The sequence below is a fragment of the Homo sapiens genome, chromosome 3, assembly GCF_000001405.40.
Source record: "Homo sapiens chromosome 3, GRCh38.p14 Primary Assembly".
NCBI lineage: Eukaryota > Metazoa > Chordata > Mammalia > Primates > Hominidae > Homo > Homo sapiens.
Genome location: NC_000003.12, coordinates 142,765,917 through 142,789,950, shown reverse-complemented (window position 1 = coordinate 142,789,950; position 24,034 = coordinate 142,765,917). Strand labels below are relative to the sequence as shown.

The 24,034-nt window shown below is 34.5% G+C and overlaps 1 protein-coding gene across 24 annotated transcripts in view; it reads right to left on the bottom strand.

The window, feature by feature from the left end:
- The window catches only part of TRPC1 (transient receptor potential cation channel subfamily C member 1), an 83,855-nt gene that overhangs the window by 17,938 nt on the left and 41,883 nt on the right, over window positions 1-24,034 (bottom strand). For 16 of the 24 annotated variants that reach the window (XR_007095723.1, XR_007095722.1, NM_001251845.2 and 13 more), the window contains 3 exons: window positions 12,188-12,319; window positions 8,922-9,117; window positions 4,911-5,247 (listed from right to left, as the gene is read on the bottom strand). The exons of 4 other annotated variants lie outside the window; for them this stretch is intronic. Coding sequence is in view for 18 of the 20 variants with exons in the window: in NM_001251845.2 (NP_001238774.1) it covers window positions 4,911-5,247; window positions 8,922-9,117; window positions 12,188-12,319 (665 nt within the window). In the remaining 2 variants the exon portion in view is untranslated. The remainder of the gene's footprint in view (window positions 1-4,910; window positions 5,248-8,921; window positions 9,118-12,187; window positions 12,320-24,034) is intronic. 4 more of the 24 variants (NM_001413381.1, NM_001413382.1, NM_001413362.1 and 1 more) reach the window with 2 other exon arrangements.

Genomic DNA, 24,034 nt, shown 5'->3' with positions numbered 1-24,034 from the left:
AATTGATTATCTTTCCCCCACTTTGGGTAAGCTCTTCAAGGGTAAGAATCTTTGTTTTATTTACCGATGTTTCCAAATGTCCTGAAAAGTACCTGATACAAACAAGGTGCTAAAAAATATTGCCAAATGAATAAATATACAAAAATAAAAACCAAAGCAAACAAACAGAAAAACTTTCCGTTTTTTGGCCAGAAGCTCCTCTATAACTATATATTTTTATGGGTACCAGACTTCAGTAACATAATTCAGGATCATTTTATGGTACATTCCTTCATTAAGTCATTTTCGGGGAGACTACAGAGTAACAAAAGAATAGAGTGCTGTAGCATCACACATGGGTGGAGATCAAATTAGGCCAATCAGAATCATTCTCTGGCTTATCAGTAGGCAAAATAATTCCCCTGGGAAACACAAGAAACATTCTTGAAGATCTCTGTTCAAAACATCTTAATTATGCAGTACCCATATTTTATACAGAAAAAAAGTGTTTAAAACATTTGCAGATTTGACAGGAAAAACATTTTTAACAATTCCACCTTAGTATGTTTTTACTCAAAATGAATAGATGAAAACTGTCTAAAAATGTAAAATGAAATAGTCTAGCAGGTAACATTTTATTAACTCAAATACTGTTTTATTTGGGGAAGGAGTAGGGATGAAAGCTTTCTGATATTTCTCATGTTCAACCTTCACCTACCACTCAGAGCTGTGGAGCAGAAACATATTAAACAAATCCTCCATGACCATACTTTCTTGAAGACTCAAAATTATTGTCTAATTCTAGATCCTGATGTGTGCGAATCCTTATTTATGAAACATCTTCAAACAAAAACCCTTATATTTAAACTTTAGATACACTCCTGTTAATATTTAAAACATCAAACTAAGAAAGATGTTTACAGAAATGTGTTTATTTCTGTGAAATGCAATATTTTACCTAAAAGAAACTCTTAACAAAAACTTACAACATGAATTGGAGAAAACTGTTGATCAAAAAAGACAGACATGAAAGTACAGTGAAGACCAATTGGTTAGTTTCCCAGCTCCTCTGCAATACCCCCACAAAAATGAAGCTAATACACTTGATGTATTGCATGTTTCCAAGCTGGATCACAAAGAACATAGTAAGTTGAAACTAATCCAAGCAATACAAACACTACATAACCAACATTCTATATTTTAGGGTCTATTTTTTTTAGAATTAATGTTAATAATAACATTAGAAGGCAGCAATCCCAGCCATCTTGGGATTTCTCAAGGGCTTGATCTTAGGTCCTCTCTTTTTCTCAATTTATCTTTCTCCTTGTGTCTCACCTATGCCTATAGTTTCATATACCACCTATTTTCAGATATGCATACCTTTCTAACTCAAGCTCCAGACCAACTGTCTGCTTGACATCCCTAAAAGGGATATTTAAAAAATATCTCAAAGGCTTTTCAAACTCAACATATCCGAAACTGTACTCAGGATCTACCCCTCAACACACAAATCCCCAAGCCTAGTACTCTTCCAAAAGACCAATATTGCTTAATAATCTCCCTTTCCTTCACCTCTCATATACTATGTATTTCGATGTCCTACTGGCCTTACATTATAAATATCTCTGAAGTCTGTTCCCTTCTCTCTTTCTCTATCACAATCACCCTAAGTCCAAGGTGCCATCAGCTCTCATCTGGATTAGTGCAACAGCATCGATATTGGTCTCCCTCCATCTACTCCTGCCACAGCACTATCCTCCCAGCTCATCCTCCACCCTGTAGATAGAATGATCTTTTCGAAAGGCAAAACTGATCATGTCACTTGCCTACTTCAGGTAGGCAATGGTTTCCCCTTGTTCTTAATATAAAGTCAAAATTACTTAACCTGACCTACAAGGCCATGCATGGTCTGGTACAATATGTTTCTGTAGCTTCATCTTGAATCAAGCTCTCCTGGTTCTCCCTGCTCCAGAAATGTTAGCCTTTACTCAGACCCTTCTTTGTACCATTCTCTCTCTTGCCACTGAGCTTCTGAATGTGCTTTTATCTCAGCCTAGAGTAGCTTCCTCTCCCAGTTCTCTCAGTTGACATCTATTTATCTTTTAGATCTTAGCTCACTTATTACTTCCTCAACGTGTCTTTCCCAACCTCCCTGACTAGGGCAAATGCCCCTATAATATGCTTACTCTCCTAACACTATGATCTTTAACCAATAGCACTTAATCCATTTTTGAGTTTTCATTTTTCCATATGATTCTCAAGTCAAGTTTTTGATGGTTTTATTTGGCTTTTATTAGATCATAAGCTTCACGAGTGTATGGGCCATATCTGCTTTTGCCTGTGCTTAGACAAAGTAGGTACATGACATTTAAAAAATACATTTCTATAATAGCCATTCTATTATGTTTAATAGCAAAAATTAAGTAAAAGGATACCATTAATATTCTGTGCATTCCTCAACAAATTATTCTCTTTTTACCTACCTTGCTTTTTATAACCTAACCTTACTTTTTTCTGAAAAGCTAATGAAAGCAAACAAAACAAATATACAAAAATTGGTCATGATGAGTTAAAAAGTCACTGTGTTCATTGCTTGAAATAGTAAGTTGAACCAAGCAATGACTTTATTTAGGCAAGCAAGCAAAATATTCCTCCATGCTCACTTAGAGCCGGTTTGGATCTATATACTGAAAAAAAGCCCAGAGTGACCTAATTACATAAAAGGCTTAAGAAGACTTCCTTGGCAAGGCTTATTCAGATCAAACTGTTTCAAAGCAGAAGCTGTGCTGAGGAAAGGAAGATACTTCCAGGAATTTTACTGGCTTAATGCACATGCATTCTTCTAGTGAGGTAGAATATGGTTAGAAAATTAATCATATTATGTGTGTAAGGGGGTACCCATGTATATATACGTGTAATATCATTGAAAACAGCATCATATAAAAGGGAAGAGCTATAGTTTTACCATTATTATGAAAATCGGGGACAGCAGTAATATTTATGCTATTCAAAGAGTGGTATGACTATTTTAGTTCGGTGAGTTTTTACTCATTGCTAAGACATATAAACTTTAATTTGATTCTTATACAGACTGGGGTAAACTAAATCTAACAAAACACAGAAAATATTCTTTCTTACTACTAAACAATAGGTTATAGATAAATGTTATAAAATTTCATCTGTTTAAGACTAAGGAATATATAACAATCAGAAATAGTTTAAATGAATATAGGGAAAGTGCTCCTTAGCGATTCTCTTCAAACTAATGTGTAAAATTCTTCCAGGAATTTTTTAACTACTCAACTAGCAATACAAACATATTTCACATTGAAAGAGTCCCACAGTCCAATATAAAACCATATATGGTAAAGTTTAAATTATTTCCTAAATTAAAAGATTAAATTTTAGATAAGAGCAAAACTACAGGAAATAAAAATATTAACAAGAAGGAATTATTTAATTCTCTTTAACCTAGAGTTTAGATGTGTATTATTTTATCTACCTAATTTTAAACATTAATGCATCATAGATTAAATACTGTTAAAAGCAAAACTCTAATTACAATCTAGTTACCTGAAATTAACTGATTTTCAAATAAACATTCTAAAATATAAAAAGTATTTGTATAGCTAAAGAGCTAAAATTGAACATTGTGAAATAACTTATGAAAGTACTAAATAATTGAAACAATCAGGAATGTAGTAATCAAAAGATAAATACACTCAGTACTTTGTGCCATAGATAAGACTAAATTTTATTACCCTTTTACTCTATAGCAAATAGTAGACGGACAGATGGGAAGTGCTGAGGTTAAAAACAAGGTAGAAGATACAGAGGGAAATAAAGAAAATATCTTTAAAATACCATAAACAGATAATGTGATTCTACCTCAACTCTCCACACGCACCCCGACACACAGAAGGCAAGACGAGTAAAAATTGTAGAAGATGATTTAAGACATTTATTATACAGTGTAATACTTATAAAAATAATTTTCAGGAATAAAATGTCTTATACTTTTTAAAAAACTATCATTTCTAAAGAGATCTGGCTATCTCTACAAAGAAATGATTTATGGAATGAGTCACCAGGGACTCCTTTAAATCTAAATTTAAACAATGTTTCCAAAATAGAGATAAAGCAAGATATATCTGCAAAAGTTCATAGGTTCTAGGCCGGGCACGGTGGCTCAGGCCTATAATCCCAGCACTTTGGGAGGCTGAGGCAGGAGGATTACGAAGTCAGGAGTTCGAGACCAGCCTGGCCAATGAAGTGAAACCCCATCTCTACTAAAAATACAAAAATTAGCCAGGTGTGGTGGCACGCACCTGTAATCCCAGCTACTGGGAGGCTAAGGCAGGAGAATCGTTTGAACCCGGGAGGCGGAGGTTGCAGTAAGCCAAGACTGTGCCATTGCACTCCAGCCTGGGCGACAGAGCGAGACTCTGTCTCAAACAAAACAAAACAAAACAAAACAAAAACCAAAAAGCTCATAGGTTCTTAAAAGGAAAACTAATGTTATAAATGAAATAGAATAGTTAACTTTAAAAATGCACAACAGTATAAAATAGATTGTTTCAAAATACCTAAGAAAACTTCATATTCTTACACCAAAAAAGCATTCATGTGTTAAAGCTGATTTTCTGTTTTACAATCATGAATAACCATAGAGTCTGAGAATAAATAATTTTAAAATTCCATGTATTTAAGAAATATTAAATAAGAGAGATGCTTCCTTATCATCAAGTTCAGGAACATTTATCTTTACAGACATGTTAGTTAAGTCTTCAGTGATCATGGAAGTGTTCAAATTCTTGTGGTGTGAACAGTGTAAAATTGCAAATTGAACCCAATATTCACAATGCCATCAATCAAGAAAGAATCAGTGGGCTAAATAAAGACAAAACCTTTCAAACTAACTTGATACTTACCAATAATCCACAGAATAAGAAGATAGTCTATTCTTTCAAGGGCTGGCCCCATTGTGTTTTTCTTATCCTCATTGTAGACAAGAGAGTATAGATTAAGCAACAGCAGAAATGTGAAATATGATGCTCCATGAATGATAAATTTCATAAAAGGTGTGTGAATGATTCTGCCAAACTGAGATTTGGGAGCTATCAAATAACAAAGTGACAAAACTGGCCAAAAGATGCCTACTGTCAAAACAGTCATTATCTTCTTACAGGTGGGCTTGCGTCGGTAACCCGACATCTGTCCAAACCAAACAGTGTTCAGGAACTGCTGGCAGTTAGACTGGGAGACAAACTGAAAAGGACATACACACACATTAAAAAGAAAAAAAGTAAAAGGAAACCTTTAAATACTGATTGGTTGATATTCAAAGTTTACTGAATAAGAGTTTAAAAATCAATTCTATACATTCAACATAGTTTTGTTTTTTCCCTTTTTCTAACAATAAAAGCATGTAGAGGTTAAGAGGATAGACTATGGAGCCAGATTACCTAGATTCAAATCTGGGCTCTGCTACTTGGTAAATGACCTTTAACAAGTTTTTAAATTTCTCTAAGCCTCAACTTCCCCATCTGTAAAATGGGAATAATAATAGTATCTACTAATAAAGTTGTGAAGATTAAAGGTAAAGCCCTCAGAATAGCGCCTGGTTCATAGCATGCACTCTATAAGTATTAACTATTATTATTAGCTTACTTAGCCATTTTTTCATGTTTAATATATAAAAACTCATAATAATATTTATGAAATTTCAAAGTTATCATGCACAATCCATAGAAAAAGATACCACTAACTAATGTTGGACATCTTCAGTCTAGAGAAACTATTGATTTTAGTTACCAGAAGCCAAGAAGTCAAGATAGCAAAAACAATAAAAAGCTAAATATTAGACCTATTCTTGCTCCAAGAAAGCACTGCGGATTTCTTAAAAGGTATTAAAGACACTCTTAAGCCTGATTAAAACTGAATTTCATGTGAGAAGAAAGGAAAAATATTCCCAAATATGAGAAAAATTTTAGTTCAGGTACAGAAACTAATTTACCAAAGTTTACAAATCTTCTTAGTTGACAAATTTCATAGGCAATATTTTTCCAATATAATGCTCATGTTGTGAAGTATAACTTAAGGGTCCTGATAATTCTATATATACTCATGTGATCAGGTTTGAAATTATTATAAAATGACATTATTCAGGTAATCCACAATAATATTTGGTCAACCTTCTGTTTTAAAATGATTTATCCCAAAACAGAATATAATTTGTAGAATTAACACTGTAGTGAAAAAAAGAATTGGACAGAGTTTTGTTGTTTATTGTGCTTTCAAGAAAATTTCTAGTATACTGTAGAGTTGGCCCTCTGTATCTCTGTGTCCTACATCTGTGGATTAAACCAACCATGGATCAACAATATTTGGAAGAAAAAATTCACAAAGTTCCAAATAAGCAAAACTTGAATATTCTTCACAGCAAGTACTATGTTGAATCCACATGAATGAAATGATGTGTAGGCACTGTATTAGGTGTTATAAGTAATTGAAAGATACTTTAAAGTATATGGGAAGATGTGTGTATGTTATATGCAAATACTTATTTTTGGCAATACTTCATTCTTTACTCTTCTGCTCAGATTCCAATGTTCTTGGGAAATCTTAATTTGTCCCTCAAGGTGAAATGCCTGGGAGAGAAACAGCTTTTCCTCTCACCAATGACCAGGTTTAGTAAATCTCAAATTTAGTAGTGTCACCTTTCCTCCAAATATCAAAGCAATCTCAGGACTGATTACTGTCCTTGCTATCCCTCTATACAATGACAATTTAATTTGCAGTAATGTTAACTATGTATTTGGAATAAAAAGTTTAACTAGAAATGTTCTAAGTCTGCAGTGAAAGATGGACACGCTTTCTTCCCATCATCAAGAGGTGGGGAAGGAGGAAGTCAAAATTTCCTACTCTTCAATTCAACAGGCTTGTGATTGATTTAACTAGTAGATTCTAACAGAGGTGATGCTATGTGACTTCTGAAGGTAGGTCCTAAAAGGCTACGCATCTTCCACCTTGCTCACTGGAACACCTGCTCTTGGAGCCATGAACTACCATGTAAAAAGCCACTCTGAAGCCACCATGCTGTGAGGAAGCCCAGGCTGCACACAGAGGTCACATGTATGTACCCCAGCCAGCCCGCAGAGGCTTCTCAGACCACATCCTCAAAGTCTGCCCATTGTGATGGCCATGCCTCTCCTTGGTTCCTGTTGTGAGTTCTCAGGAGCCCCACCTTCTGTGGACTCACCCATCTGAGCACCCTGTTCCTGAGGCCTCAGCTGCTGCTCAGACACCAGACATGTGAGTGGAGAAGCCCCCAGCTGATTATAGCCCTGTCATTTATCTCCAGATGAGTTCCCAGACACGGAGAAGCAGAGAAAAATCATGATTGCCATGCCCTTTCCTAATTCCTGACCTAAGAATCCAAGAGCATAATAAAATGATTATGAAATTATTATAAAATAACTATGAAGTGTTTTATGCCACTAAGTTTCAGAGTAGTTTGCTATTCAAGATTGATAACCTAAACAAAGCTTACCAACTATTTGAGAAAATATCTTCCCCACTGATCGTATTTAGAAATCTAGTTTTAAAAACTACTTTACATTTTCATTCATCTTTAAAATCGCAAAATATCTTCCTTTCAACTAACAAATATTACTACTACTTCTTGTCTTTTCTTTCATCTTCTTTAGAATGGTACATTTGGTTCCATTTGGACTCCACTCTGTGAGTCCTTCAGGGATATAGCTATCATTAGAAAATTACCTCTTAAGATTTTTTTTCCTAAACAGGATAATTTTAGTTCTTTACGCCTTTCTTTGAGGTTCTTTTTTTAAATCACTTTAATTGATTTTATACCATGTAATCCCCTTATTCTATCATTTTCTAGGACTTCATGTCCCTTTTAGGTTGTGGAACACAGAAGCAAATATATTAACCAATAAACATCCTCCATCAATTCCTCCATCAATTTCCTAATAACTTTGTGAGGCTCAAATTTTTAACCAAGGTAAGAAAAAATTCTGCCCTTAGCACCAAAGGTCCTGTATCTGGCCTTCTATCATTATATATTTCAGGCCCTATTTTTGTAATAATATAAATTTGATAAGCAAGTTTTATTTAAACATCTATGTTAACAATGAAAATAGTCTTAGAAGTAATACCTAATAAATACCATTTATCAACATCCCATACTATCAATTAGATATTATTATTATCTACATATGAATATCACTGTTTAGTTAATTATCTCAAAAATGAAATTTAAAATGCATATTTTCCTGATTCAAGTTCCTGGATCATATGTATATGTATGCATGGGGAGTAGAAATGGGCATATCTCTTAATAGAAAGGGATGATGCCAGAAAAGTCAGATTCAACTTAGTTATCATATCATGTACCTCTCCACTTTTGAGTTTCACAATGAATTATAAATAAGAGGAATCAGGAAATATAGTATCTGATACTTTATTTTTAAATAGAAATCACTATTACTATAGAAGGGGCTATTTATAACCAGATCAATGAAAACCAACCTGTGACAGACAAAACACAAGATGGAAACTTCACTATAAAGTTTGTACCTACTACAAAGGATCTTACCTGTGTAGCAACTATTTAGCAAAAACATTAAATCAACATCCATGTTATAATTATAATCAATATTACTAAAAATAATAAAAACTACCATTTATTGCATACTTGCTTAATGCTAATACTTACTGTGCTAAACCCTTTTAGTATATATTCTTAATTAATTATTAAAACAAAAGCTCAAACAGATTCAATAACTATCCCAAGACACACAATTTTTAGGAAGCAGAACTAGGATCTTAACCCAGATGAGTTACTCCAAAGCCTTTGCCCTGAGCCACTAGACTACTGTAGAGAAAATAATTTAAATATATTACAGAAAGCCTCATACCTCTTTCTGGTTATATTTGATAGCAAGTTTTAGACGACTTAAATTCATTCTTTCTTCTAATAATCCCCGTTTGTCAAGAGGCTCGTCACTAGACGTATGGTTTAGAATAACTTCCAATTCACGAGAATTCCGGGCTTGTGCAAGTAAATCCTTAGCAAACATTTTACATTGCCGGGCTAGTTCCTCATAATCATTCCTATAAAATGCAGCATTCTATTATCAGAAACGTCGTTTCCATCTTCTAATTAAGCTATATTCACTAAAAACGTTTTTACTCAGCAACATTTTAATTCTGACAGTGTTACACAAAATCTGAAGTCATTTTCTGTGGATAATCAAAGGAAACTAGTGATGCACGAATTTTCCACAGCTTTGGGGAAAACCATAACACAATTATGTTCCCTGTGTTCATACTAATAATCTTAGATGAGCACAGTGTTCATTTATATATACTGATGTTATTCCTAAAAATTCTAATAATATTTGTCAACCAGTTCTTCGCTTAACTCATTTTCCCTTATTCTCTGTAAGCTTGGCTAAAACTTCCTTTTATATTACTCACCTTAACAATAGACATAATATCTTAATGCTATCCAATCATTATCATAAAATTTTTAACTAGAGCTTTTTCAATAGTCATCTACAATATGTTTATGTTACTTCTAATATTAAAATAGCATTTTGATTCATATTTAAAGTGCTCATTTGAGTGAAATTCAAATTAGAAAGAAAGATATTAAAATGCGCCTAACAAAAACCTCTCTTTCAGAATCCCTATTCCTTGAATCTTGGGTTTGAACTGCTTATTAAAGGCAGGCCTAAACTAATTTGTGAGAAATGAAGAAGTTTTAGTATATAATTCTTTTAAAAAATATCAATTACGGCTGGGTGCGGTGGCTCAGGCCTGTAATGCCAGCACTTTGGGAGGCCAAGGCGGGTGATCACCTGAGGTCAGGAGTTCAAGACCAGCCTGGCCAACATGGCAAAACCCTGTCTCTACTAAAAAATACAAAAATTAGTCAGGCATGGTGGCAGGTGCCTGTAATCCCAGCTACTCAGGAGGCTGAGGCAGGGAGAATTGCTTGAACCCAGGAGGGGAGGTTGCAGTGAGCCAAAATGGTGCCACTGCCCTCCAGCCTGGGTCTCCAAAAAAAAAAAAAAAAAAAAATCAATTACATTAACTTTATGTCTAAGCTTAATCATAACTTAAGAATGAAGTCAGAAATAAATAATTATGAGTCATAGTCTTGAGGTTGGGCTTCAGAAAATAATGTTTTTATTCAGTTTTTTCCCAAACTGAAAGGAAGGGGAAACAGGAAGATTTCCCACTGGTTAGTCTTTCTATATAATGGGGCTTTCCAGGAACTGGCTATATAAAAATCATAACTTAAGAATAAAAACTTCTTTGCCTTAATTTCTCTCATCATTCTTTATACATTCTATGTAGTCAAAACTCCTGAAAATAAGTAATTGGATTTATTTAACAAATGCGGCACTCCCTGCTTCTTGATTTAGGAATCTAACTGCAGACTGGAATGTTTATCAGAAGTATATATTATTACAAAAATATTCCATCTTTGGATAAACATTTGATGGACTACGAGATTCAAAGGTGAAATTTATACATCTTATTAATCTAATTCATTTCTAATAGATTACTGAAGACAAATAAGTGGCTGTATAGTTTAGATGGAAATATAGAAAACCAGAAGCAAGGAGTCATATATTCTAGTTATAACTTTGCTCCTACTTTTAGTTTTAACTCTATTCCTAATTAGATGCTGCTATTAGTAAAAATCTAGCCTTTATAAATCTCCTCCCCTGTCTATAAAACACTGGATTGAAGTAAATGGGTTTCTATGATCGCTTCCAAATCTAACTTTATTATTTTATGATTATATAATCATAGCAGTTTCTTCAAATCCTGTTTGAAAGGAGTTGAGTAAGTTTTATTTTATATAACTCAGACTCAAATTATGAGGTTACAATAGGAAGTTTTTCATATTTAAACAGAATAATTTAACAGCCTCATGTGCTAATAAAGTTAAAAGTAGCAACAAGTTACATTTGAACCATGTTTTGTGTGTTCATCAAAGTAAAGTACATACTTCATGTCATATCAAGTTTAAACAAAATTTAAATTATCCAAGTTACAAGACAGTAGTTCCAAACTTGAAAATATAAACAGGTCTTTTTTCAGTTTCTGGAACTCAGGTCTATGAAGAACACATTAAGTACTGCTGTTAAAGCTAAAGAAAACTCCAAGTTTCTTACTGCCCTTCCAGGAAGTAGAAATTTGAACTTTCCCAATTTTGTCAAGTCACTGAAAGAGTGTCACACAAGACATGGGGCTCTAATAGCAGCCGTATAGGAAAGAAAAGGTAGGAATAGTTATAGATCCCCAGTAGAAACCTTGCAACAGGGGCTAGTAAAAAATCGTAATCAATTCCTCCTTCTTTAGAGGGCAACAGGGATACTTTTCCATAAAGGAAAATCTCAACGCTTTCTCTCAACTCTACTATTAATAAAAGTAGTTTTCTAAGGATTTTTTTAAAAACAATATTTAAATTAGTAGTTTCATAGGCTGCTATTACAAAGTCTTTTTTTTTTTCAACTTACCCCCCTAAAGGAAAATAATAGGAGTGCTTCTTTGGTATGCCAAGTGCCAAAATTACATTTAATCTTCATTTCAGAAGAGAACTCAGACTGGGTGTTCATCCCTCTTAATTAGTTGTATTTTATTTTTATGTTTACATGTATTACATATATTATTTCTCTTACCAGAAAATCTGAGCAAATAGTGAAAAGGGACTATGTCTGTGTGTGGAATGTCCTTGACATACAGAAAGCATTCCATATGCTTTTGAAAGATCTGAAGGATCATTACTCAAGGATGATTATAGAGTCAGAGAATGAGGAGATATGTGTGAGAGAGAGAGCAACTATGAATAAATTTGCTCCTGCTTTAGGCTATAATCCTACTGTATTTCATACTGCTCTACAATGCCTTTGGTTAGGTTGAAAAGTGGGGAAGAGATTAAAGGTGTTTATAGGGTGGCAGAGGGCAGATGGGGAAGGAATGACTTAAGTAGCACCAGGGTCTGTTCCTTTGAGGGAGAGCAGGGGTCTGTTGCCAAGTAAGTGGCAACAAGGTGTAGTGTTCTTGGATCAAATGTAAATATATACAAATTATAATTTGGGTAATGAAGAAACTGAGGTTGAAGATTTAAAACAAAATACATTATATAATTTGCATTCATTCCCACCTGAATTCCACCTCCACAAGACTTAGTTCTTTTAAATCAGCACTAAGTTCAAATGCTCTCAGAATTGGATCCTCCTCTGTTAACATTATTAGAGCTGGACTGGCCAAACATCGATATATATCAAGACGAAACCTGTGATAAAATTGGATTCCATAATGTAAAATAAACTTATACACATATAATTCGTATTTTAATCTATAATTTTCATAAATGTATACTTAAAATATTATAAAATTAAAAGAAAAACTACAGATATATTTATTACAAGATAACCTCCATAAAAAGACTTAAAACAAATATTTTGAGATATAAATATTGAAAAACCTTGCTATCTATTGCTTTTTAGAAAATTTTTTTACTGTCTCTTTTCATAGATTCAAAATGCCTTTGGTATAATATAAAGATTTTTGTTTAATCCAGTTTAATTAAATTCATATTTCTGGACCAACTTTTTTTTAACTTAAAAGACAGGGTCTCGCTCTGTCACCCAGGCCAGAGTGCAGTGGAGTGATCACAGCTTGCCTTAGTCTCGAACACCTGGGCCAAGGGATCCTCCCACTTCAGCCTTGTGATTACAGGTGCATGCCACTACACCAGGCTAATTTTTAAAATTTTTATAGAGACAGGGTCATGCTATGTGGCCCAGCTAGTCTTAAGCTCCTGGCCTCAAGTTATCCTCCCATCTTGGCCTCCCAAAGTGCTGGGATTACAGGTGTGAGCCACTGTGCCTGGTTTGAACCCAACATAATTTTAAATAAAATATGCTAATAACATAAATTTTTAATATGATGTGGATTTGATGACTAATAAATCTTTTCTTTCTCTCTCAGTAATAAAAATACTTTTTTTTTCTTTTTTTTTTGAGATGGAGTCTCACTCTGTCACCAGACCGGAGTGCAATGGCACGATCTCGGCTCACCGCAACCTCCGACTCCCTGGTTCAAGTGATTCTCCTGCCTCAGCCTCCCAAGTAGCTGGGATTACAGGCATGTGCCACCACGCCTGGCTAATTTTTGTATTTTTAGTAGAGACGGGGTTTCACCATGTTGGCCAGGATCGTCTCGATCTCCTGACCTTGTGATCCAGCCACCTCGGCCTCCCAAAGTGCTGGGATTACAGGCGTGAGCCACCGCGCCCAGACCATAAAAATATTTTAATATGCTCAATATATATAATACATTTTTCATTCATTCAGGTTATGAGTTTGAAAGATGTTTCAAATCTTAAGAGTGAAATCATTTACTTATGCACAGTCTGTAATGTAAAAAAGCACTCCCTTTGCCATCTATAAATTAATATTCAAATTTCCATACCTAAATAGAAAACAAACCAGAAAAATTTGCTATAGTTCATTTATTAATATAATTCTTAATTTACAAATTTAGTAGATATTATATTTTTCTTTTAATATAAATTTAAATACATGCTTATTATAAAACATAAGGTAAGCAATTTGGAAACATGATACTCCCTCATCCATGTCCTCCCATCACCTCCCAACTGCAATCCTCAAAACTCGTCATTTTACAGAGAATTGTGCATGTCCTCCCTGATATTTTCTACTCACACACGAACATAATCAGACATAATAAAGGAACAGCTTGCTTTTTAAAAAGTGTAACATATCATGAATCTCTTTCTGTGTTACCATATACAGATTCATCTCATACAACTGGACGGAGGTCTATAAGCTCTCCATTAATGAACATTTAGGTGGCTTCTAATTTTTTTCTGCTATAAAAAATGCAGCAATGAATATTCTTCAGTTTGCATATCTTTTGTGTACTTTCAATTTCTAGGGAATATGGCATTTGTATTTTAAATTCTGATAGATGTTTCCAAAGCAATAATAACAAGGAGAGCTCATTTTCTCCATCAGCTTCATTAATACTGGGTATTACTATTTCAATCTAACAGAAAATAGGATTTTATAGGTGGTTTAAAATGAATTTCTTTAGATGCCTGAGCATCTTTTCATGTTTAATATTCATTTATACTTCTTCCTCTGTAACTTGCCTGTTCATATTCTTTGGCCCATTTTTTGTAATGATTATTTATCCTGCTTTTAGTCAATTTGTAAGATTTCTACATATCAAAGAAATTAGCCTACTGTCCAATCAAAAGTGATTCAAATACTTTTTTTTTTTGAGACACTCTCATTCAGTTAACCAGGCTGGAGTGCAGCAGCGCAACTTTTGCTCACTGCAGCCTCCGCCTCCTGGGTTCAAGCAATGCTCCTGCCTCAGCCTCCTAAGTAGCTGGGATTACAGGTGCGTGCCACCACACCTGGCTAATTTTTGTATTTTTAGTAAAGACGGGGTTTTGCCATATTGCCCAGGCTGGTCTTGAACTCCTAGGCTCAAGTGATCCACCCACCTCGGCCTCCCAAAGTGCTGGGATTACAGGCGACTTAAATACTTTTAATCCAGTTTGTTGTTTATCTTTCTACTTTGTTGTAATGAATTTTTCTATACGGAAATTCCAAATCTTCATTTAAACAAGTTTATTGATATAGTCCTTATTTAGCTTATAGGTTTAATGTCTTACTTAGATACAAAAGTAATCCCATATAATGCATTTTTAAGAAAACAATATTTATGAAATTCAGTTATGATCTAGTTAATTAATAAGTATATTAAGGATTTCTGAAGACATATTTACCTATACTACACTGTCAAAAAACTGAGAAAAAAATAATATGTAATTGTGCAACTTATCCATTTCCAACAATGTCTACATTAATTAATTTTATCACACTGTTTCAAAAATAGGCTTTTGTATTAACCTACTTTATCATGTCTCAAGATATAGTAAGGATTAATCACAAAATGCACAGCAAGAGTAACTTCCAATAATGGTGGAATGAAAAGATTGGTAACCATTTGTATTAGACTTATAATGAAGCACCATTGTGTGGAAAGCATTTGATATAATCTGACGAATAATGAAGCCACTTCTTTCATAAGATCTATCAATTTTGGTACTCAAAACACCATTAAAATAATAACAGTATGAAGAGGTCAGTAATTCCCCTCCACAAAAAAAAAATACATAAAACTGAACAAAATTATCCAAAAAGACCAACCATTTCAGGCCACTGGAAACTGTTTATTGAGAATTGTTGATTGTTGAAAAACTGCCAGTGCTTCAGGCAGGAATAGCCTTGCCTAGAACTGCCTCCATCACCCCTGCCCCCAGTTCAGTCAATGAGGTTTGTAGTTTTGCCATCCTGTAGCTGGTATACTTGTAGTTTCATGCCAGGGTGCCAAAATCAATTCAATGAGAGGCAAAAGCCTATAGCTCTACTGGCTGAAAGTAATGGACTTGGTGGACATGGATAGAGAAAACTTGCAGTTTTGCAAGACTGAGGTTGCAAACCAAGTTGAGGCAAGCAGTGGACCAACCAGAAACTTAACAGGGAGAGCTTGGAAATAAGAAAGCCATAAATGGATTCACATAAGTTCTCCACAAATTCCTGGCTGACTAGAAAATTACATATGTGTGGGGAACATCAGAGAGTTGGTAAAAAGAAAAGACCAAGGAAAAATTAATAAATGCCCACAACTTCAAATGCATTCCCCAACTAACCCACAGATTGATTAGCAGATAGTACAAACTTTATGGGCTGAAGGTGCATTAGCAGAACCTCAGCCCAAATCTTTGGCTGACATATGTAGACACTAAAAAGAGTCCTTAGGAATCAAACCTAAACAATGAAAATGAGACTAAAACACAAACAAAGCACAGACATCAATAAATGTACAACACAAGGAGACAAATTCTGTAGGCTAGGCAAGTAATGTAAAAAATATAAAAAACAACAAAACAGGAAAAAAGTATGCAGAGTTGCTATAATACATACAAAACTGTCCAGTTTTCAAACAAACAAATACTAGATGTTCAAGGAAAAGGTGCCTCCCTGAGGAGCAACATTAGAGGTTTACCACTATGGGGGAGAGGGGGGCGGGGATAGACTTCATTAAAATAATCCAATCCATTACTAAAAAACTAAACAAATAAATAACAATAACAAGCCCCAGGAAAGAGGGTGGGTGGGGACTAGCACACAGAGTTTGCTACCATATTATCTAGAATGCCCAGTTTCCAACCAAAAAATTAAGGGACATGCAAAGAAATGGGAAAAGTATGACCCATACCCCCTAAAGGAAAAAAAAAAAAAAACTGCCTGCAGAGTGACCAGATGTCAGGATGCTGGGATACAGGCATAAGCCACTGCATCCGGCCTGTATTCCTTTTCATTATTTCTCCCTTTATGGATATTCTCTATTTGACATGACATTGTCCTCTTACCCTGCTTTACTTCCGCAATCATGCTGTCCTTTTAGTACTGTGAGCATATTTATAATGGCTAGTTTGAAATCTTTTTCTCTTAAATCTGACATCTGGTTATTCTGCACACAGATTTTTTTTCCTGGGGCAGGAGAATTGCTTGAACCCAGGAGGTGAAGGTTGCAGTGAGCTGAGATTGCGCTACTGCACTCCAGCATGGGCAACACAGCGAGACTCCATCTCAAAAAAAAAGACTATAATGGAAATTATGGAATTAAAAAGTACAATGACTGAAATTAGAAATTCACTAGAGAGGCTTGCTATGGGTTGAATTGTATCCCTCCAAATTTCATATGCTGAAGTTCTGTCTACCAGTACATCAAAATATAACTTTATTTGGAGATGGAGTCTTTAAAAAGGAAATTAAGGTACAATGAAAACCTCAAGGTAGGTCTAAATCTAATATGACTAGTGTCTTTATAAAAGAGGGAAATGTGGAGACAGGCACGCAAACAGGGAGAATGTCATGTGAACATGAAGATGGCCAACTACAACAAAGGAGAGAGGCCTAGAACAGATCCTTCCTTCACGACCCTCATAAGAAGTCAACCTTGCCAATATCTTCATTTCTGACTTCTAGGTTCCCAAACTGTAAAACAAAACAAAACAAAATTTGGGTTTTTTTTTGAGATGGAGTCTCACTCTGTCACCCAGGCTGGAGTACAGTGGCACGATCTCAGCTCACTGCAGCCTCCGCCTCCTGGGTTCAAGCGATTCTCCTGCCTCAGCCTCTTGAGTAGCTGGGACTACAGGTGTGCGCCACCATGCCTGGCTAATTTTTTTGTATTTTTAGTTTCACCATATTAGCCAGGCTGGTCTTGAACTCCTGATCTCAGGTGATTCACCCGCCTTAGCCTCTTGAAGTGCTGGGATTACAAGAGTGAGCCACGGCGCCCAGCCACAAAATTTGTTTTTTAAGCTACTTTGTGGTACCTCATTATGGGAGCCCCAGAAAACTAATACAGGGCTCAACAGTAGCTGTGAAATGGCAGAAGAAAGAATTAGCAAACTTGAAGATATATCAATACAGATTATGCAAGCTGAAGAACAAAGAGAAGAAATAATTAAGAAAAATGAACAGAGCCTAAGAGAGATGCGGAACACCATTAAGCATACCAACATACTCATAATGGAAGTACTGTAAGAAGAAAAGAAAAAGGAAAAGAAAAATATTCAAAGAAATAATAGCTAACAACTTCCCAAATTTCTTGAAAAACAACCAACACATCCAGGAAGCTAAAAAAACTCCAAGTAGGATAAATGCAAAGAGACCCACAAACAGAAACATCATAGTAAAAATGCTGAAAGTCAAAGACAAAATCTCGGAAGCAACAAGAGAAAAATATCAGGTCACTTACAAGGGAACCCAAATAATATTAACAGCTGACTTCTCAGTAGAAACAGATGCCAGAAGGCAGTGAGAGAACATACTCAAAGTACTCAAAGAAATTTAAAAATTGTTAATCATAAATCCTAAATCCAGCAAAGTGAATGTTCAAAAATAAAGGAAAAATAAAAACTTCACTAGATAAACAAAAACTCACAAAATATATTGCTACCAGAACTGCCTTACAATAAATATAAAAGCAAGTTCATCAGGCTGAAAGCAAGTGATTTAAAAAGCAATTATATAGAATAATATTTATAGAATAGAAAGTAATGTTTGGCCTATAACATAGAAATGTAATATATTTCTATTTACATTTGGTGTAAATATTTTCCAATAACAGCATATAGTAGGTAGGTGGGGCCAAAGTTGTAATGAGTTAAGGAAATGCCTAGAGATGGTAAAGTAATAATTATAACAATATTTTCTTGGGTTAGTAATATTAATAGATAGAATATGTATAACAAAAATATCATTACGAGAAAGGAAATACAGATGTATAGGAGTAACATTTTCATATGTTATTGGCATTAAGCTGGTATAAATCTCAAGCTGCTGGGCACAGTGGCTCACGCCTGTAATCCTAGCACTTTGGAAGGCTGGCGGGGGGACTGCTTGAGTCCAGGAGTTCGAGACCAGCCTGGGCAACGTGGCAAAACCCCATCTCTACCAAACAAACAAACAAAAAATCTGACACTGACTTTGACAAGTTACAATATATATGACAAGTCCTAGAGAAACCAGTCAAAAAAAGAACTCAAAAAATTCAGTGAAAAAATAATTAATAAAAATGCTACATGATATAGTTTGGAATTTGTTCCCTCCAAACCTCATGTTGAAATTTGATCCTCAATGTTGGAGGTGGGGCCTTGTTGGAGATGTTTGGGTCATGGAGGTGGATCCCTCATGATCAGCTTGGTGCCATCCTTGCAGTAATAAGTGAGTTCTTGCTGTATTCATTCCCACAATATCTGATTTTTAAAAAGAACCTGGCACCACCTTCTCTCTCTCTTGCTCTTTTTCCCTTACTATGTGACATCTTTGCTCTCCCTTAGCCTTCTGCCATGATTGGAGGCTTCCTAAGGTCCTTAACAGAAGCAGATGCTGGCACTATGTTTCTTGTACAACCTGCAGAACAATAAGCCAAATAAACCTCTTTTCTTTATAAACTATGTAGCCTCAGGTATTCTAACAATGCAAACAGTCTTATAAATCATATTAGAAAATATACTCAATGCAAAAGACAGCACTAATGAAGAAACAGAGAAACAAAAAAGACATGAAACACATAAGAAACAAAAAGCAGACACAGAAAACAACAAGTAAAATGGAAGGCATAAATCCAACTATCAATAACATTAAATGTGAACAGCTTAATCCAATCAAAAGGCAGCAGCTGTCAGACTAGATTTTTTAAAAATTCAATTATATGTTGTCTACAGAAGACAGACTTTAGATTGAAGGACACAAATAGATTAAAATTAAAAGCTGGAAAAAGATGTATACTGCAAACAGCAACAACAGGAAAATTTTAGTGGCTATGGTAATATCAGACTTTAAAAAGTTACTAAAGAGGAATACCTTCTAAGAATAACAGGGTCAATCCATCAGGAAGATATAACATGTATATGGCTGGGCACAGCGGCTCACGCCTGTATTCCTAGCAATTTGGGAGGCTGAGGCGGGCGGATTACTTGAGGTCAGGAGTTCAAGACCAGCCTGGCCAACATAGTGAAACCCCATCTCTACTAAAAAGACAAAAATTAGCCAGACGTGGTGGTGCATGCCTGTAGTCCCAGTAACTCAGGAGGCTGAGGCAAAAGAATCACTTGAACCCAGGAGGCAGAGGTTACAGTAGCCAAGATTGCACCACTGCATTCCAGCCTGGGTGACAGAGTGAGACTCTGTCTCAAAAAAAAAAAAAAAAAAAAAAGGAACATACAACATCTATAAATATATATACAACTAACAACAGAGCACCAAAATACATGAAGAAAAAACAGACAGAAATGGAGAAACAGATAATGAACAACAACAGTTGAAGACTTTAATATCCTACCTTCAATAATGGAGAGAACAATGAGGCAAAAGATCAACAAGGAAATAGAAGACTTAAACAACATTATAAATGAACTAGACGTAACAGACATCTACAGAACACTCTATCAAACAAAGGCAGATTATATACTCTTCTCAAGTCTACATAAAACATTCTCCAGATTAGACCATATGCTATGCCATAAGGGAAAAAAAGTCAATAAATTTAAAAGGACAGAAATAACACGAAGTATGTTCTCCAACCACAATGGAATAAATTAGAAATCAATAACAAGAAAGTTATTTAAAAAACCCACAAATATGTGGAAATTAACAACACACTCTTAAATAATTGATGGGTTTAATAAATCAGAAGGAAAATAAAAAACTGAGATGAAAGAAAATGAAGACGCAACATATAACAAATTATGGGGTTCAGCTAAAGCAGTGCTTAGAGGAAAATTTATAGATATAAATACCTATATTAAGAAAGAAGAGGCCAGGCACAGTGGCTCATGGCTATAATCCCAATGCTTTTGGAGGCTGAGGTGGGAAGACTGCTTGAGGCCAGTAGTTCAAGACCAGCCTGCGCAACACTGAAAGACCCCATTTCAAAAATAAAAATGTTTTAAAAATAGAAAGAAGAAAGATCTCAAATCAGTAACATGACTTTCTACCTTAAAACAGTGACAAAAAAGAGCAAAGGGTATGAGGGTTCTTTATAAGGTGATAAAAATGTTTTAAAATTGACTGTGGTGATCATTTACATACCTATAGATATATGAAAAACCAACAAATTATATATTTTAAATGGGTGAATTATATGGTATGTGAATTCTATCTCATTAAAGTTCAAAAAGTGAAGGTGAAATAAAAATTTTCCCAGATAAATACTAACAGAATTTTCAGATAGTAGACTTGCCATACTGAGAATGCTAAAGCTGAAAGGAAACGGTAACTGGAATCCACAAGAAAAAATGAAGAGGCACAGAAATAGTAATTATGTGGATAAATATAAAAGACTATATATGAATATTTTTTCTTGCATTTCTAAGAATGTAAGATTATTTAAAGGAATAATTATAATACTGCATTATTGTGTTTATAACATATTTAGATGTAATATATGTGAAAATAATAGCACAAAGAAAATGGGAAAGCAAAGTTGTTACGTTTTAAGTCGATATCAACTTGAAATAGATTGTAATACACTAAAGATAAATACTATTATCTCTAAAAGAAAAAATTCTTAAATAGTTAAAAAACACAGAGGAAATAGAAAGGTATACTTTTTTAACACAAAGAAAACAGCAAAGGAGGAACAGAGGAACAACAACAAAGAGACATGAGAAATACAGAAAGCAAATGGCAAAATAAAAAACATAAATCTGTCATACCAAAAATTACATTACATGTGAGTGAACTAAACACTTCAATCAAAAGGCAAAAACTGTCAAAGTAGATAAAAAGCAAGATCCAATAGTACACTGTCCAAAAAAGACTATTTAAATTAAGAAAAACAAGCATATTGAAAATAAAGGGTTGGAAAAAGTGCCATGTAATCAGTAACCATGAGAGAGGTAGAATGGATAAACTAATAGCAGAAGGAATACATAGCAATTATAAATGTATATGCACCTAACAACAGAGCCTGAAAATATACAAAGCAAAAACTGACACAGAAAAAGATAATGGAGCAATTGTTAGAAATCTTAATACTCTCTTGCCAGAAATTGATAGAAAACCAGTAGCGATATGTAATATTTAAACAACACTATGAAACAATATGACCAAACTGAAATTTATAGAACATTTCCCTAAAACAGCAGAATGTATATTATTTCAAGAGTACATAGAACATTTCCATTTTAGACCCTATGCTGAGCCATGGACCCTCTTAATACATTAAAAAGGCATAAAATCATACAAAGCACATTCTCCAAATTAAGCAATGGCTTCTTAGCTATGACACCAATATGCAAATGACCAAAAGAAGAAAAAAGAAGATCAAATGGACTCCATCAAAATTTTAAACTTTTATTCTTCAAAGGATACCATCAGAAAAGTTAAAAAAAAAACATACACACACAATTCATCAATAAAAAAATCAGATAACCAATTAAAAACTAAGAAAACAATTTGAACAGACATATATCTAATAAAGATATGCAGATATCCATTAAGCAAAAGATGTCATTCATATGAAATATCCAGAACAGGTACATCCGTAGGGACAGAAAGTAGATTTAGTAGTTGCCACCAGCTGGGAGAGTGACTGCTAATGAATATAGGGTTTCTTTTTGAAGTGATGCACAACTTTGTGAATATCCTAAGAGCTGAAATGTACACTTATGATATATAAATGATATGATATATAAAGATATATAATTTATTTATATATAATATATTTATATATAAAGATATCTTAACAAAGATATCATTAAAAATAAAGTATAATCTCTAACCACAACAGAATTAAAGTAGAAATCACCAAAAAAAGGAAATCTAGGAAACTCCCTGATATGTGAAAGTAAAACAGCAAGTTTTAAAATACTCTGTGGATCATAAGAATGAGAAGGCAAACCACAGACTGGGAGAAAATATTTGCAAAAGACATACTGGACAAAGGACTATTTAAATATTTTAAAAACTCAACCATAAGAAAGCAACTAATTTAAAAATGGGAAAGATCTAAACATCTTTTTAAGTTAGCTTTGAACTTTTAAAGTTAGCTATGAACAGTGAAAATAAAATTTAAGAAAATAATTCATGTACAATAGTATCAAAAAGTATAAAATACTTAGGAATAAACAGTAAAAATAAAGAAGCACAAGACCTGTACACTGGGGATTACAAAATATTGCTGAGAGAAATTAAATGAAACCTATTAAATGGAGAGATATACCATGTTCAATGGTTGGATAATTCAATATTTTTAAGATGGCATTTCTGCCTAAATGATTCAACACAATCTCTCTCAAAAATCTAAGCAGATGTTTTTGTAAAAATTGACAACTGATTTCAAACTTTATTTGGAAATTTAAAGGACATACAATATATGAAATTTTCAAGAAAAAGATTTTAAAATGGAGGACTTACTGTGTGTATTAGAGTTCTCTAGAGGGACAGAACTAATGGAATAGATATATATAAAGGAGAGTTTATTAAGTATTACCTCACATGATCACAAGGTCCCTCAATAGGCCGTCTGCAGGCTGAGGAGCAAGGAGAGCTAGTCTGAGTTCCGAAACTGAAGAACTTGGAGTCCAGTGTTTGAGGGCATCCAGCATGGGGGAAAATGTAGGCTGGGGCCAGGCATGGTAGCTCACACCTGTAATCCCAGCACTTTGGGAGGCCGAGGTGGGTGAATCACCTGAGATCAGGAGTTTGAGACCAGCCTGGCCATACTAAAAATACAAAAATTAGCCAGGCATGGTGGTACATGCCTGTAGTCCTATCTACCCAGGAGGATGAGGCAGGAAGATGGCTTGAACCCAGGATGTGGAAGTTGCAGTGAGCTGAGATCGCAACACTACACTCCAGTCTGGGTGACACAGTGAGACTCCATCTCAAAAAAAAAGAAAAAAAAAAAAAAGATGTAGGCTGGGAGGCTAGGCCAGTCTCTTTTCACATTTTTCTGCCTGCTTATATTCTAGCCACACTGGCAGCTTATTAGATTGTGCCCACCCAGATTAAGGGTGGGTCTGCCTTTCCCAGTCCACTGACTCAAATGTTAATCTCCTTTGGCAACACCCTCACAGACACACCCAGGATCAATACTTTGTACCCTTCAATCCAATCGAGTTGACATTCAGTATTAACCATCACATAGTAATTGATTTTAAAACTTACTATAAAGCGATAGTAATCAGTACAGAGTTATATTGATGTAAATATAGACACATAAGCGTTCCTTTTTCTCCATAACCTTGCCAGCATCTGTTTTTTTTTTTACTTCTTAATAGACATTCTGACTGGTATGAGATGGCATCTCATTGTAGATTTGATTTGCATTTCCCTAATGATCAGTGATATTGAGCCTTTTTTTCATATGCTTGTTGGCCACATGTATG